Raw genomic sequence first — 14,731 nt, 5'->3', positions numbered from 1 at the left:
AGAGGTAGGAGCTGTCGCCAGAACTCTGCCAAGGATGGGATGAAGAACTCTGATAGGAGGACCACACCGTAGGTTAACAAGTGGAGACACAGCCGGAGGAGGATACAGGGTAGCTCGTTACCAGGTCCAACATTTTTCAACCCTCGTTCTGGAGTGGTCATAACCAGGGATTTAATATAGAACACAGAGGACATTAGGTTATAGCTGCCTAGGGATCTTAGTTCTTCATTGGCAAAATGGAAACAGCACTTAGGCTATCGGCTGCCTAGCCGCTTTTTTTTTGAGACTCGGCTCACTGCAACCTCCGCCTCCCGGGTTCAAGCGATTCTCCTGCCTCAGTCTCCCGAGTAGCTGGGACTACAGGCGTGCGCCACCACGCCCAGCTAAATTTTTTTGTATTTTTAGCAGAGACGGGGTTTCACCATGTTGGTCAGGACGGTCTCTTGACCTCGTGATCCGCCCGCCTCGGCCTCCCAAAGTGCTGGGATTACAGGCGTCCTAGCCGCTTTTTAAAAACCCTTCCCCCTTTATTTGTACGGCAATTTGTATTTTCAAAGTGCGTTCACCTCGCATGCGCCCTCCTAACCACGAGGTGAGGAAAAGCAGGCCAGAAGCCCACCTCCAAACTCCCATTTCCTCGAAGAGAAAACTGAGGCTCGGACAAGATCTGTGCGCGAACGCCGAATGGATGGCCCTGGGGCCGATGCTCTCTCACTAAGAAAAGGCCTCCGAGACTGCCCAAGCTTCCTGCCCGGGTTCGGAATCTTATAGACCCGCAAAACTGCAAATGCGCTAACAGTCCTAAAAACGTCCACGTTGCCAGCTCTGAATTGCAAACGCCGGCAGCAGAACCGTTTAATCACAAGGTAAACGGAGAGTCGCCGCAGCTCGGCTGCCTCCTCACTGGCAAACCCAGGGCAGGCCGCGACCCGCAGGGCCAGGCTGAACCCGGCGGCCGACCCAACGCCGCTGCTGTAGCTACCTGGACGCCATGCACGATGTACACCTTCTCCGCCTCGCTCAGCGTCACGGACGCCATGCTGCCGAGCTGCCCCACGAGCCGCACGTCATCTGCGCGCGTCCCCTCCTCTGGACCGCGCCCCCACGTCCCACCCCCCCCCGCCCCGCGTCAGCGCGTCATCAACCTGCGCGGCGGCCGCTCCTGCAGCCGCGGCCGCCGCCACTGCCGGGAGAGCTCGATGGGCTTCTCCTGCGCGCCGCCCGGTGTCTGGCCGAGTCCAGAGAGCCGCGGCGCCTCGTTCCGAGGAGCCATCGCCGAAGCCCGAGGCCGGGTCCCGGGTTGGGGACTGCAGGGGAAGGCAGCGGCGGCGGCGGCGGGAGCCCCACCGGGGTCTGGGACTGGGGAACTGCCTCCGGCTTCACGGTCAGTTGGGAAGGGAAACTGGGGTAGGGGTGAAGAAGCTGGGGTGAGGCGAGCCTCACGGGCCGGGGGACTCCCAGTGGGAGAGGCGTGCGGCGTAGTTGCTCAGAGCTGGAGTTGACTTAGGAGCGTGTGTGTGTGTGTGTGTGTGTGTGTGTGTGTGAGAGAGAGAGAGAGAGAGAGAGAGACCCCGACTAAGGAGGGGCGGACGTCGTGATTGGCCCGGGGGTGCTGTTTCCCTGCTCTTCTCCCCTCCATTTCTCTAGTCCCTAGGATGGCTGGAGAGGCGATGCAGCCCTCCCTAGGTAGTTCTTGGTGGGAAGGGTCCGGGAATGGGGGACACTAGTCCTAAGGCGTCCCCACCCCTCCACCCAGGAATATCTCTCGCTGGCTCGCTCACTCTCTGTGACCGAACGCTGTCCCATTACCTTGCTGGGACCTCTTGCCTCGGGTGCTTACCAGAGCGTTGTCCCACAGACGGGGGAGGAGGCGCTTGGTAACCGGCACTGGCGAGGTGCGCAGTGCCCGGACGTCCCCAACGCTTCCTAGCGGGAACTGGAAACCCCGGCTTGATGGAAGTGATTACTGGGAGCTGTGAGCAGTTGCCCGAAAAAAAGCCAACCCCAACCCCTTGCGATGGCCGAGTGGGAGTATGGGCATTGGATACCCGGAGAGGATATCTGCAAGGTGAAGCTGGGGTCACCAAAGGAACTCATTAAGGCGGGGCTGACAAAGTATGGTGCAAGTTTTAAAGGAGCCGTGTGGATAAATGGGAGAAAGTTAACCCAAATTAGTTGAAGCAAGGAGGGCAGGTTAAAGCAATTCTGATGACTTTCCTGATGTTCCATTTTTGAGGACCCTCAGCCAAAAAAAAAAAAAAATGGTATTTATCAGATAGTGGGTTCAAATACAGTTTCAGATAACTATTGGGAGCCTACTATAGATAGGCTTTGTGCTACCTTTAGAACACAAGACAAGTAAAACATACTATGCCCAGAGAAGTTCCCTGGGCAGATGAAGGCTCCAGGGCCAACATAACCACAGATCATGGTGGTTAGAGCTATGATGGTCGCATCAGTGGGCACAGTGGGATTGGGAGGTCGTCTGATAAGGTTATAGAGAGGAAGTGCTTGCTCACATTCTTAAGCATTAAACTGCTGAGCTCCAAAATTGATGATCAGTTCTTCGTAGACTGGACATTAGATGTTTCTTATGTCTCTACGTAATTCTCCACAGGGGCACCTAAAAGGAAGACAGCTTGCAGGGTTGGACTTTGCCTTCCAGGGAAACTGAAAGAGGTGAAGCCGGAAGGATTTCCTCCCTAATGAAGGCACAGGTGCCCCACCTGTTGTGGCACTTAGATGTGTTTGTGTGTGGTTGGACGGCTGGGTTTTATGTGAGGAGCTCTGTTGTGATAAGATAACATGAGATTGCTGATGTTATAAATGATATTTTCTAGATGTGCTAGAGATTGCTCAGAAAGGAGAGACCCTGGAAGTGGGATTTTAGAAGCTAGGATATCTGAGGAGACTGAGGATTTAAGAGGTGACAGCAAATGGACAGATCAGAAAGACACAGGAAGAAAAGCCTGAGTTCAGATACCATGGAGTTATCTTTATATAAAGATTTTCCAATGTCTTAAAATATAGAACATGTATTTGAACTGTCCCCCCCTCACAATTGACGGGAATTCCATACTGGACAAGGGTCTGCAGTATTTGCTAAATAATGTTATGAACGATGTCTTATATATTAGGCTAAGTAGGTAAGAGAGATGTAAACAGTAGAATGTTCCTTTTTAAATTGTCTACTAAAACAATGACAGTCTTCACTAATCATTCGGCTTAAATGCTGCCAGAACATTTTTATCACCTTTGCTGTAATAGTGCATTGGACGTCTTTAAAATCCATAAATTCTGAGTTCTTTTTTAGTGTATTGAAGTAATTCAAAGAACATATGATAACCAAAAAAATCAAGAAGTCAAGGATGGCACAGTATTAAACCGTCTTGTTTTTCCATCACTATTAGATTCATTTATTGAATGAATAAATGAATTGGGGCATACTATTCTGTAGGTTTGTGTATTCTAAAACCTTATACTCTAATTTTCAACACTAATTTACATAGTGCTTATTGTATGCCAAGCATTGTTCTAAGCACTTTATAAAGATTAACCAGGCTAGGTGCGGTGGCTGACATCTGTAATCCCAGCACTTTGGGAGGCCGAGGCCGGTGGATCACCTGAGGTTGGGAGTTTGAGACCAGCCTGACCAACATGGAGAAACCCCATCTTTACTAAAAATACAAAATCAGCCGGGCATGGTGGCGCATGCCTGCAATCCCAGCTACTCGGGAGGCTGAGGCAGGAGAATCGCTTGAACCCAGGAGGCGGAGGTTTTAGTGAGCTGAGATCACGCCATTGCACTCCAGCCTGGGCAACAAGAGCGAAACTCCATCTCAAAAAAAAATAAAAATAAAAAATAACTGATTCAATCCTTGCAACAGCCCTGTGATGCAAGTATTCTTATCCCTATTTTACAGATTGGGAAATGAGGCACAGAGAGGTTAAATGCCTTAACCAGGGTCACAGGTTACATCATTGGTAAATGGCAGAACCAGGACTTGAGACCAGGCAGTCTAGCTCTCCTGCCCATACTCCTAACCATCACCTTACACAGCCTCCCCCCAGGTTTTATTACATTCACCAGATTATTTGGTGAAGGAAATCCCAATTTTGTTATGGCGTTGGTAACTGTCCTATGAACTATATAGTTAATCTTAATTCCAAAAGCAAGAAGTCTGTTCAAGCATAAACTCATATCCCTTGAATCATTTTTCTAGAGGAACATGGAATGTGGTGCTGATGGGATGTTGCTGTGTCTGTTGCAACCCAATATTTTAAACAAGGTAAAAGGTTATATATGAGCAGAATAAGAGCTTAACTCCAAGTAGCTAAGGAGAGAGCCCTCAATGGCAAAGATGGCTGATAGATCTGGTACTAGGGTTGAGTAGCATGCATGGAGACCCAGATTCCAACCGTATGCCATACTCAGATATCTAGAAACTCCAGACAGTGTGTTTGCATGCCTGTGAGTCCCTGGTGTTCTTATGGGCATAAAGAGATAAACTCAAAACACAACACCTGCCTAAAAGTAGTTTAGAATTTATTATAGTGGGGGAGCCCAGGACCTCGAACTACTGCATGAACAAGACAATAAAATAAAGTGCTCAATTGAGACGTGGCAATTAGAAGAGAGGCCAGCCTATAATAAGGTGCTAATTGTGCAGGCCAGGTATCAAATACAAAAGGTAAAGAGCTGCTGCTAGCCACAAGCCGGCAACAATAACATGACAGAGATGGAGTAACTCTGTCCCACCCATCCTTGGTTAATTAAACCAATAAAAGCCAGTTACAAAAGAGCTTCAGGGCAATGCTGAGTCTGTGGTGCTGATGTTGCAGAGAGCTTTTTTGGAGACAGAGTCTTGCTCTGTTGTCTAGGCTGGAGTGCGGTGGCACAATCTCTGCTCACCGCAACCTCCGCCTCCTGGGTTCAAGCAATTCTTGTGCCTCAGCCTCCCGAGTAGCTGGGATTACAAGTGTGTGCCACCACTCCCGGCTAATTTTTGTATTTTTGGTAGAGACTGGGTTTGGCCATGTTGGTCAGGCTGGTCTCGAACTCCTGGCCTCAAGAGATCTGCCTGCCTTGGCCTCCCAAAGTGCTGTGATTATGGGCATGAGCCACCATGCCCAGCCATAGAGAGCTCTTAAAAGCCCAGCAGGAAACCTTCTGTTCCCAGTCCTAAGCAGACATGGCCATGTTTTAGGCCTTTTCCTTTGCATTTTCACCATTAGCCCAGCACCCTTGAAATGTACAAAGTCAGTTACCGTTTTGCCTGTAGATCTGTTTCCTTTAAACACTTTGCATTTGTCCCGCCTGTACCTTGTCTTAAAAGAATGAGGTGGGAGGATCCCTTAAGCCCCGGAGTTTGAGTCCAGCCTGGGCAACATAGACCCCATCGCTAAAAAATAATAAAATAAGTAATAAAATAATGATAGAAATGAAGAATATCTGTAAAGAATACTGTCATAGTCTGGCCAGCAGGTCTTCATCTGTCTTCTAGACATTGTAACTTGAGATTACAGTGATAGAAAAATTGCTAGTAATACATGGGTAAAGCTTACTCTTAATTAGAGGAAAAGTTATACAGTCTTCATGTGTGTTTCATTTTGGGAGAGTGACAGCATGTTTCCTATGTCTCATTAGGGCATATTTGAGAAAAGGGGGTAACAGATCCTGCTTACCAAATGTAGAAATATTTAAACACACACACCCTGATAGCCATGGAAAGTAACAAAGTCTCAAGTAGAAGTGGAGGGGTGATGTCTCAGTGTTGACCTGTTGGGGAAAAAATGAGGCTCATGCCATGCTGCCTTTAGTTCCTTCCTGTTTTGCATTTTAAAAAATCATTTGCTTTCCTCCTCGGAAGCAGATTTCCAGAGACAAATGGCCAGTTCATTCATGGCTGTCAACTGTGAAGGTGAGAAGGCTCCAGGTGCATGTCCCACTTAATTCAGTCATACATCCTAATACATTTGGAATGCATGGGAAATGTCATCATTTCATAGTCTCCTCCAAACCATAGACTTCGTAGTATGTATTGACTTGGCACTTGAACTCTTGGCAAGATATGAATATGTATTTCCTATTCAAGGTCAGTGGAGATGCAATGCCTTTGAGTGAGATCACTTTCTTACCTTAGCAAGGTAAGCCTAATGAGACAAGTACAGTTCTGGCCACAGTCCTGTTGCAGTAAAGTCTTCAGTATGTGAAGTGTATGTTTCTAAACCAAGAAATAGTAGCAGAGAATCTAGAAAGACAGGTTGTTTAGGAAGATAACAATCTATGGTAGAAAGACTTCCGGGCATCTTAGTCCAAAGATTTGGGCTTTGCTATTAACTTGCTTTATGACTTTGAACAAGTCAGTTAACCTAAGTCTCATTTTGCCCTCAAGTGAGTATCTTGCCAGGTTTTTAAACTCAGAATGGATCCTGGATATGCAAATATTTGAATATTGAAAAATGACCATGTTTAAATTGGGGTTTTTAAGACTTCTTTCATTTACCACTTCATTATACTTGATATATTTTGCTAGTGCTTTTTCCACTCTGAAAAAAATTAAATGAACAAAAGGAAGTCGTAATTTTATGCTGTACTTGATTGAAAAAACTAAACATGCTCAGGAAATTGCTAAGAGAGATAGTTACTAGTGGGCTTCTTTTTGAATATTAGCAAATCGGGAAAAGAGGTAAGTGAAGCTTTTGGTAAAAAAATGTAAAATCCAAGATATTAACAAAGAAAACGTTGAATTTGCTCCTGAGAACAGAGGACTCATAGAATCTCAGCCCTGCAAGGGGCCCTAGCAATCAGCGTGATCTTCCCCTTTGTTTTATCAAATGAGGAAACTGAGGCCCAGAATGGTAACTGTCTTGCCTGAGATCATGAGGTTAGCGAGTGGCAGGATTGGGAGTAAACTCTGGCCTCTTGATTCCAAGCTCAGTCTTCATTCCCTTTAGCACTAGCCTCCCATCTATTTCCAAAGCCCTCTGGTGAATGGCTGGAGAGCCCCTCACCAGGTAAGCAGGGGCTGTGTTCTCTTTCTCACAGCCCATTACAGCCTTCTTTCTGTGGTCCCAGGTTCCTCCCAGGGCTCTGCTCTTGCACTGCCACTTACAGTGCCTGGAATAAGTGATACCAGCAGATTCCTGAAAGTCAAATGGCTCCCCTTTTTAGGCCCTAGTACCTAGTACAGTTGCAATAACTGGTTCTCTCCCTTCCCTAGCTAGTCTTTCGGATTTCTCTAAGCACTTTTGCTTTTAGTCCCTAAAAACAACCAAGCTCTGGCCTAGCCTAAGTGATGTCACAGTGGCTGTGTGGCTGCACATGACACAATGTGGGCCCAGGTGTCATTCTCAACATCCTCAGGTGGGAACCTTTGCTGATAGGTCTCTGCCTAGCATGGGGGGAGGCGTTTTTTCTCACAAAAAGCAGCATTCTGTTACTTGGCACCACAGGAAGTATTTCCCAGCCAAAGCAGATTTTAGGGATTCAATCCTAGGTGACTCTTCTGGCTGAGGCTTCACGGCCTTCCTGCCTCCTAGGTTAGGGCAGGATCGGTATTCTAAATGTTGGCTGGTATTCAGCCAGGGCCCCACCTTAGAGCCCAAAATGCTTATGTTCAGGCCTGTGGCCTGTGAGCACCACTGCATGCAGCCCACTCGATAATGCCACCTCTGCATAACCATGTGTGGACAAGATAGCCAAACCGTAAGTAACCCAAGGTCACTGATGGAAACATCAATACTCCTCCCCCTTTTATTTTCTAGTTACTAGACAAAATTTAATTATTGTAGTAAGTAGTGAAAAGCAAGCCCTGGGGCAAGAGCAGACTTTGGGAGTATATCCTGTCTCCACCACTTCCTGGAAGTATGGTTGTAGGCATGCTTCAGTTTTCTCGTTTCTAAAAGCAGGATGGGGAAGTGGGCATTTATATGTGCAAAATAGAGTAGATGTGAGAATCAAACAGGAAGAGGCATGTGTAGCAAGCAGCCCAGTGCCCTGATGGAGGCAGTGGTGACACCTTAAGTGAGGGTCAGGAAAGAATCAGGGCCCCACCCTACATTCAGCATATCCCACACTTTGGCAACAATCAAGCAGAACTGGAGCCTACCCTCACAGAGGCCAGAAGGCAGTTCATTGTCAAATGAGATCATGCACTGGATTACAAGGGGTTCACAAACTATGAGAGTATCACCGTCATCGGCAAGTGTTCATTGGGTAGCTGGAGCAGTCATTTATTGTTGCCTTTATGAAGATGCTCCTGCTGGCTTACAAACTTCCTGCAAGGAGAAGTTAATGCAGGGAGATGGCAGCGTAGCAATTAAACAGATTGTAGTAGTTACCATCCATTAGACCTAGAAAACAAGTTAGCCACCTCCCTGTGAAGATCCACTGACTCCTTGAGCTTCACTTCCTTACTCATCTGTAAAACAGAGTGGACCACAATTTGGAAGCAGGGCGGGTAGTTCTCACAGTCTCTTTACAAGCAGCTATGTTTTTGAGGGCCCAAGTCTGATTGAGGTAACCCAATGAGTGTCATGCTCCATTAATGAGACAGGTGCCAGAAGGGGCTCATAGAAGAAGGAATGCTCAATTTTTATTTATTCATTAGTTAGTTTGTTTGACAGGGTCACACTCTGTCACCCAAGCTGGAGTGCAGTGGTGCAATCTTATCTCACTGCAGCCTCAACCTTCTGGGCTCAGGCGATCCTCCTATCTCAGCTTCCCAAGTAGCTGGGACTATAAGCACACACTACCATGCTCGGCTAATTGTTTAAGATTTTTGTAGAGATGAGGTCTCGCTATATTGCCCAGGCTAGTCTCGAACTCCTGGGCTCAAGCCATCTGTCTGCGTGGGTCTCCCAAAGTGTCCTTACAGGCGGGAGCCACCATGCCCAGACTTGTTTTTAAAGAATAGGTATTATGGGTGCCCAGAAGCCAGTGAAAGGAAAGTCTGCTTAGAGTGCCTTTTTTGAGTGTTTTTGTTTGTTTGTTTTGTTTTTTTTTAAAGAGTCAGAGATTAGAGATCCTAGTCCATCCCCCTCACTTTAGAGAGGAAGATGCTAAAGCTAAGTTGAAGTAACTTCTCCTCAGGTCCCTCAAATGTGTGTAAGGGAGCAGGAAGTACAACTCCTATTTCCTGCTTGTGCATTTGTCTCATTCCAACTTTGGGTGGAAAAAAAAAATCCATGTGCTGTGCTAAAAAGTGCAGTCTGTGACGGCAAGCAGAGCCGTTTTGAATCCTGGCTCCACCACCACCTCACTCAATGCGACCTTGGGAATATTCCCCAACCCCTCTGAGCCTTACTTTTTCCATCTCTGCAATGGCGAATAAAAGCTGCCATGCTGGGTTGCTGTAAGAATTAAAACGAGCTGCTTTGCGTAGTCCTGAAGCATAATAGGCATTCAGTTAATGTTGATGCCCATCTCCATTGCTGTAGCCAGTACTGCATGTTTTGCCTAAAACATAAGTTTTCAACAAAATGTCAAAAGGACTTAAATTTTCACATTTGTAAAACAGGAAAATTTGACTAAAATCTACCACATGGTCTTTAATATTTCTCCCAGCTCTAAAATTCTGATTTTTTTTAACCAGTTACTCTTACAAGTGGCTTGTTTTAAACTTGTCTCAATTTTTCTGTTCATTGCAATGTATAAATGATACCCATGAAAAGGGAAAGTAGACCGTGTTACCCAAATGAGTGGTGTCTTCTACGGATTTCCAATGTTTGTAACATTTATTATGTCACACTGTACATGAGTGTGTCTTTTTTTTCCCCCAATTAAAAAAAATTTATAGAAACAAGGTCTCACTATGTTGGCCAGGCTGGTCTCTAACTCCTGGGCTCCAGTGATCCTCTTGCCTCAGCCTCCCAAAGGGTTGGGATTGCAGATGTGAACCACTACACCTGGTTCGGGTGCATATTTTTTTTTAGTAGATTAGTAAAGCCAGGAGCTGGTAAAATAGCCAATTGTAATAAAATAGTTATAGTAAGTAGAGGAACTGTTAGCCTCCATGAGCTATCCAAATCCCAGACTGTTTTCTGAAATGAAGGACATTGGTAGGAGTCTGAGTGTGTGCATGAATGGGTTTTGTAAGAAGGTGGTCAGTTATGAGGCAAGAAGGAAATTTCGGTTTACCGACCACTTCCTGGTTTCCTCAATGAACTGTAATATGTGTAAGGTTTGGCTTGGAGGTACAATATTTTACTTTTTTTTTTTCCATTTGTTTTTTGTTGAAGGCTGAGTATGACAGAGACAAAAGGCAGTCAGAGGGAGACAGCCCCTGCTATAGAGAGAGAAACAGTGTAGACTTGTTGGTAGCAAAGATCTTATAAAACAGGCCAGCTCACTCTGCCTGTCTGGACACTTTCCTTGGCTAGCAGGGTGTGCCGCAGAAGATAAGGCACCTTTCTTCTGTTAGGCTTCATACCACACCCTTACCTTTTTGAAAAAGTTTAGTGACTCATCCTATTTTTTAATGAAATATTTCAAACACAGTGATTCATGATTCCCTCTTTGTTTTTCTGAGACTCATCTAAAAAGTGGGCATAAAATTTACAATCCTTTTGGATCCTTACACAAATAAAGGTAATTGTAGTGCAGGTGAATTAATTTTCTACTTGACCAATTTTGTTTCTAAAGCTTCTAAGGCAAAGATCATCTATTTGATCTTTGAGGTTGCAGGGCTGGCTTGTGAATACTTTAAGACTATCACTCTAAAATGTGAGAAGTTCTAAAAGAAACAAACACCACATTTTTAAGACTGTACGATTTAAACCATAGAAGGTTAATGTTATATTGATTAGAGTGAATTTCAGCTGAGAGTTATAGACATATCAGAAAAGATGCTACCCTCTTTCAGTGGACATTTTAAGTGATTGTTTAAGGGTAGACTGAACTATTTAACTGTGGTAAGAATTAGTTTAGGTGGGAATTCAGTGTTTAGGACAAGTTCAAGAGGATACCAGACCAGCCCTCAACAGCAGTCTAGCATAATAATAGATTTATTAAAATGTCACATATTCACTCGAAACAAATTTTGGCTTAAGCCAAAAGCATCCTATTTTAGAGTTTCTACTATTTTGCTGATGTTCATGACATCTGCTAAGAGGCTGATGAAATTGAGTTTCGATTTTATAGTTCCTACTTGTAGGGAGCCAGAAAGTTTAATCCCTCAATTTTTGTTTTAAGTATATAGATTATCCTTATCTCTAAGCCAAGGGGAGATCATTGCACCTGATTTCAAGTTTGTTAAACCAGTCTGTATACAGCTATTTCATACAGGCTCCAATGGTTGAATTAATTGCCCTTTGTTGATGCTACTTTGTACCGTCTCAAGATGTGTGCTGTTCACGAGTGCATGAATGTTCATGTGGATGTGAGAATGTGGGTGGATGCGGTGTTTTAGAAAAGTAATCCTCACAAAGTACTTTGAGGTGCTTCCAAAGATTTGGTTTTAGATCTGGCTGAACTACTCCATGACTTTAGTGTGGGATCTTGTCTTATAAAAGCAGGTGAATAGGACTTGTTGGCAATCTGAGAGGATGGGGGTCCTTGGTACACTTGCTGGACTGAGAACAGTGGCATTTTGGGACTCTAATACATTCAGTAGAGAACTTTATGTTTGATGTGACAATCATGCTTTGACCCTGTCCATAAAGCATGGACTGTGGGTCAGGGTTTTGTTTTGGGTTTTTTTGCCACATGATAAAGATTAGTAGGGATTTGCCCCTCACTCAACAAATGATGTAGCTGGATTCTGCCCATCACTAGCAGTCAACACTTGGCCAGGCCAGTTCATCCTGGCCAACCCGATGAAGTGCCACAGTGGGATGGGGCCTGAGAGCTTGGCATTAGCACCACGATGTTCAAACCCTTTGAGCTGCCTACCATGGAGAGACAGCATGGGGACTGAGGCATAAGTGGTATACCCCAAGGCTGACTCAGCAACCCAGTCCCTGGGGCTCATGGAGCCCCAGACTCCACTTCACTAAGTATATTTGTGTCTGTCAGTGTGGGTTAGTGGAAGAGCACACTTATGATAAGGTATAATGAAGCACGTGTGTTATGTATGGATCTGGAGGCAATTCTCTGGACCACAGGCAGTTTTTGTTGTTGCTTTTAGAATAGCACTAATTTCAGGCATTTCTTGGTTTTGGTTTCTAGAACTCTATGAAGGAATACTAGCTGATTTCCTTTGACTTCCCACACACTGCCCCTCACAGAGCTCAGATCATCATTTTGACACCACATCTTATCAGGATTGCTGGCACTAGGGAGCTCCAGAACACCTCTGGGCCTGTGGATCCGTTTCCCCTGTGACTTCCTTACCCCCGCCCCTCCCCAGGCTTAGTTCCTTTGCCTTTCTGGGCTTCAGTGAACTCTTCTATCAGGTGAAAATAATAATTACTTTGAACATGGAATACTAATATATGGAGGCGCTAACTCTTTTTAATGCTATAAAACCCTTAGCCAAAAAACTTCAATATAGATTACTATAATTCAAGTTACAAAATGATCATTGTTCTAGATCTTCCTTGGAAAACTATTAGCCACTTAGAGGAACAGAAAACCTAATACCACCAAAATGAGACTCAGGCCTGTTGCCCTTGTGCCTCCCTGGACTTGTCGGCCTCTGGACGCAGACCTCTCATCTGTCTTGCCTGTCACTTCTAGAGTGGTCTTGCCACAGCATGAGTACTATTCCTGCACAACTTTCCTCAGAAACTTTATGGCTCACCAGTACCTTTCAGGATGAAATCCCATCTCATTATGAAGTTTAGAGGCTTTCTAAAACACAACTTTCTCCTACCTATAAAGCCTCATCTCGAATCACCTCCTCTCTTTCCTACAAAGCCTGCATCTGTCCACAGACACGCACACAGCCCTGGTCATCCTGCCCCTCCTCTTCCCCACTAGTACCACCAATTTTCCTGCCAGGCCCACCCGGCCCCCCTTGCCTTTTTGTAAGCAGTATGCTTCACTTGGCTCCAGGTGCTGCTCAGAGCCCACCCCTTCAGAAGTCCTTGCCATGAAAAAGTCTATTTATTTCACTTATGGTTGTTGGGGTTTTGTTGCTTTTGGTGTTCGGGTTTTTCTGGTACTATTTGTCCCTTTTTTGTGCTATTCATTAGTCACCTATGTGTTAGCATTATTGTGGGTGTGTCTGCTTGATATATGTGACCAGTCACTCAGGAATTATTGATTTGAGCACATATACCAAACACTAGGCTACAGAGCTAAATAAAATGAGACTTGCAGGTTGGTGGAAAAAAAGCAAATAAGACTAGTGTTATTAGGTTGGGAGCTGGGGGAGGGAACTGGCAGGGCCTGAGCAGGGCAGCACACACACATTATTGTCCACATCATCCCTCGTGTGTGAGCCCCCTGCACAGCTCCTTGCATTTAGTGGCTGCTCCATGAATGTCTTTTTGAGTTGAACTGAATAAAGAGAGGAGTTTTTAGAGACCAAATAGGGCAAGGGGCCGGGGTGAAGGAGACAGGGAGGGGGAACTAGAGGAGGCTGCCCTTCTGAGAGCATGTGCTGGCAGATGTGGTTTGGGGCTTAGGGCCCATCTTCGGGGCCCTGTCCCAGAAGCCTGAGTAACCAGTTCTGCCCAGCTCCTTGGAAGTAAGGACACTTGTAGGGAGGTGGGTCCTTGGCAGAGGTCTACTGCTCAACCCTAAGGATTGGAGTTTCTCTAATTCAAAATAGAAAAGGAAAAGGGGGTCCATATTTGCCTTTTTTGTTTTTGTTAGGGGTAGGATAAAGGGAACATATACAGTTTGTTTCGTGGTGGGTTTTTTTTTTTTGCCATATTTCTCAGATTTTCAGTTGGCTAATTTAAGGAACAAATCTTTTCTTGAAAGCTACTTTTGTTGCTTTTGGGAGGTCTGGGGGTTAAGCAACCTTTTTATAGCAGTATGCCTTTCTTGGTTTTGATGGGGATATTTTGAAACTCTAAGTGTGGAATGTGCCCTTCAGGTCAGGACTTGGTGTCTGGCCCTGCCAGGTACACCTTTGGCTTGGTCCTTTCCTAGATCACAGGTTCTCGCTCACCAGTGAGGGTCATGGGAAAACAGAGCTCCTCTGTACACTCTTTGGTCCCACGTTGTTTGAAGATAGAACATTCCGGTTACTTGAGTAAGAGTCAGTCCACTTACCTCATGGTCCTACTTGACACACTCTCCACCATGCAGAATATGGTCACAGTCCTGAAACTAAGCAGACAGTGCCTCTAAGAAGTGGGCCTGGGATCACAAATCTCATGCATTCATTTAATCAACACATGTATTAAGTGGCTACTCTGTGCCAGCCACTGGGCTAATAAGTCCTCCTCTCAAGGACTATATGGTGAAGAGCTTAGCAGTTGTTCCCTGAAGGCCTATTACCCAAAATGACTACCCTTTTGCAAATAAATCTAACAAGACTTAGTTTATTTGCTTTTCTAGCCCACAGCCAATTAGCAGTAGTAAATAGAGGATATGTGGGTATGACTGGTGACCGTAGACACAGAAATGAGTAGGCAGGAATGGAGGAGGAAGACAAAGGATCATATACAGAGATGCCAGAACGGCAATTATAACAGTCTGAGCAAGCCAGTTGATGTGAAGCCGAGACCCAGTGAATTTCAGTAGCCCTGAGGACATCATTACCTAACACACTCCAGTAGGTGATGTTCCTGGTAATAACTCTAAATAAATCATTCCAGAAGAAATGGTTGATTA

General features: G+C 45.3%; 2 protein-coding genes across 31 annotated transcripts in view, besides 3 other annotated features; one reads left to right on the top strand and one right to left on the bottom strand.

The window, feature by feature from the left end:
• The window catches only part of EXOSC7 (exosome component 7), a 36,425-nt gene extending 35,352 nt beyond the window's left edge, over positions 1-1,073 (bottom strand). For all 5 annotated transcript variants that reach the window (NR_023353.2, XM_047447748.1, XM_047447749.1 and 2 more), the window contains exon 1: positions 983-1,073. Coding sequence is in view for 4 of the 5 variants with exons in the window: in XM_047447748.1 (XP_047303704.1) it covers positions 983-1,039 (57 nt within the window). In the remaining variant the exon portion in view is untranslated. The remainder of the gene's footprint in view (positions 1-982) is intronic.
• Positions 1,107-1,176: a silencer, noted in NCBI's record as "silent region_14276". NCBI's record gives its function as "represses an Ori minimal core promoter by ATAC-STARR-seq in GM12878 lymphoblastoid cells {active_cell/tissue: GM12878}" and the evidence as "EXISTENCE:reporter gene assay evidence [ECO:0000049][PMID:35858748]".
• Positions 1,143-14,731, top strand: part of ZDHHC3 (zDHHC palmitoyltransferase 3) — a 60,914-nt gene continuing 47,325 nt past the window's right edge. For 21 of the 26 annotated variants that reach the window (NR_146163.2, NR_146162.2, NR_146161.2 and 18 more), the window contains exon 1: positions 1,143-1,384. The gene's annotated coding sequence lies outside the window, so the exon portion shown is untranslated. Of the gene's footprint in view, positions 1,385-2,617; positions 2,718-14,731 lie in introns of all 26 variants that reach the window. The other 5 variants (NM_001349381.2, XM_047448266.1, XM_047448261.1 and 2 more) reach the window with 2 other exon arrangements.
• Positions 1,297-1,396: a silencer, noted in NCBI's record as "silent region_14275". NCBI's record gives its function as "represses an Ori minimal core promoter by ATAC-STARR-seq in GM12878 lymphoblastoid cells {active_cell/tissue: GM12878}" and the evidence as "EXISTENCE:reporter gene assay evidence [ECO:0000049][PMID:35858748]".
• Positions 1,619-2,163: an enhancer, noted in NCBI's record as "H3K27ac hESC enhancer chr3:45016646-45017190 (GRCh37/hg19 assembly coordinates)". NCBI's record gives its function as "activates a minimal SCP1, AML or CMV promoter by ChIP-STARR-seq in primed H9 embryonic stem cells {active_cell/tissue: H9 hESC(primed)}" and the evidence as "EXISTENCE:reporter gene assay evidence [ECO:0000049][PMID:30033119]".

The sequence above is a fragment of the Homo sapiens genome, chromosome 3 (assembly GCF_000001405.40).
Source record: "Homo sapiens chromosome 3, GRCh38.p14 Primary Assembly".
In the NCBI taxonomy this organism is placed as follows: domain Eukaryota; kingdom Metazoa; phylum Chordata; class Mammalia; order Primates; family Hominidae; genus Homo; species Homo sapiens.
This window is presented reverse-complemented; position numbering and strand designations above follow the sequence as displayed.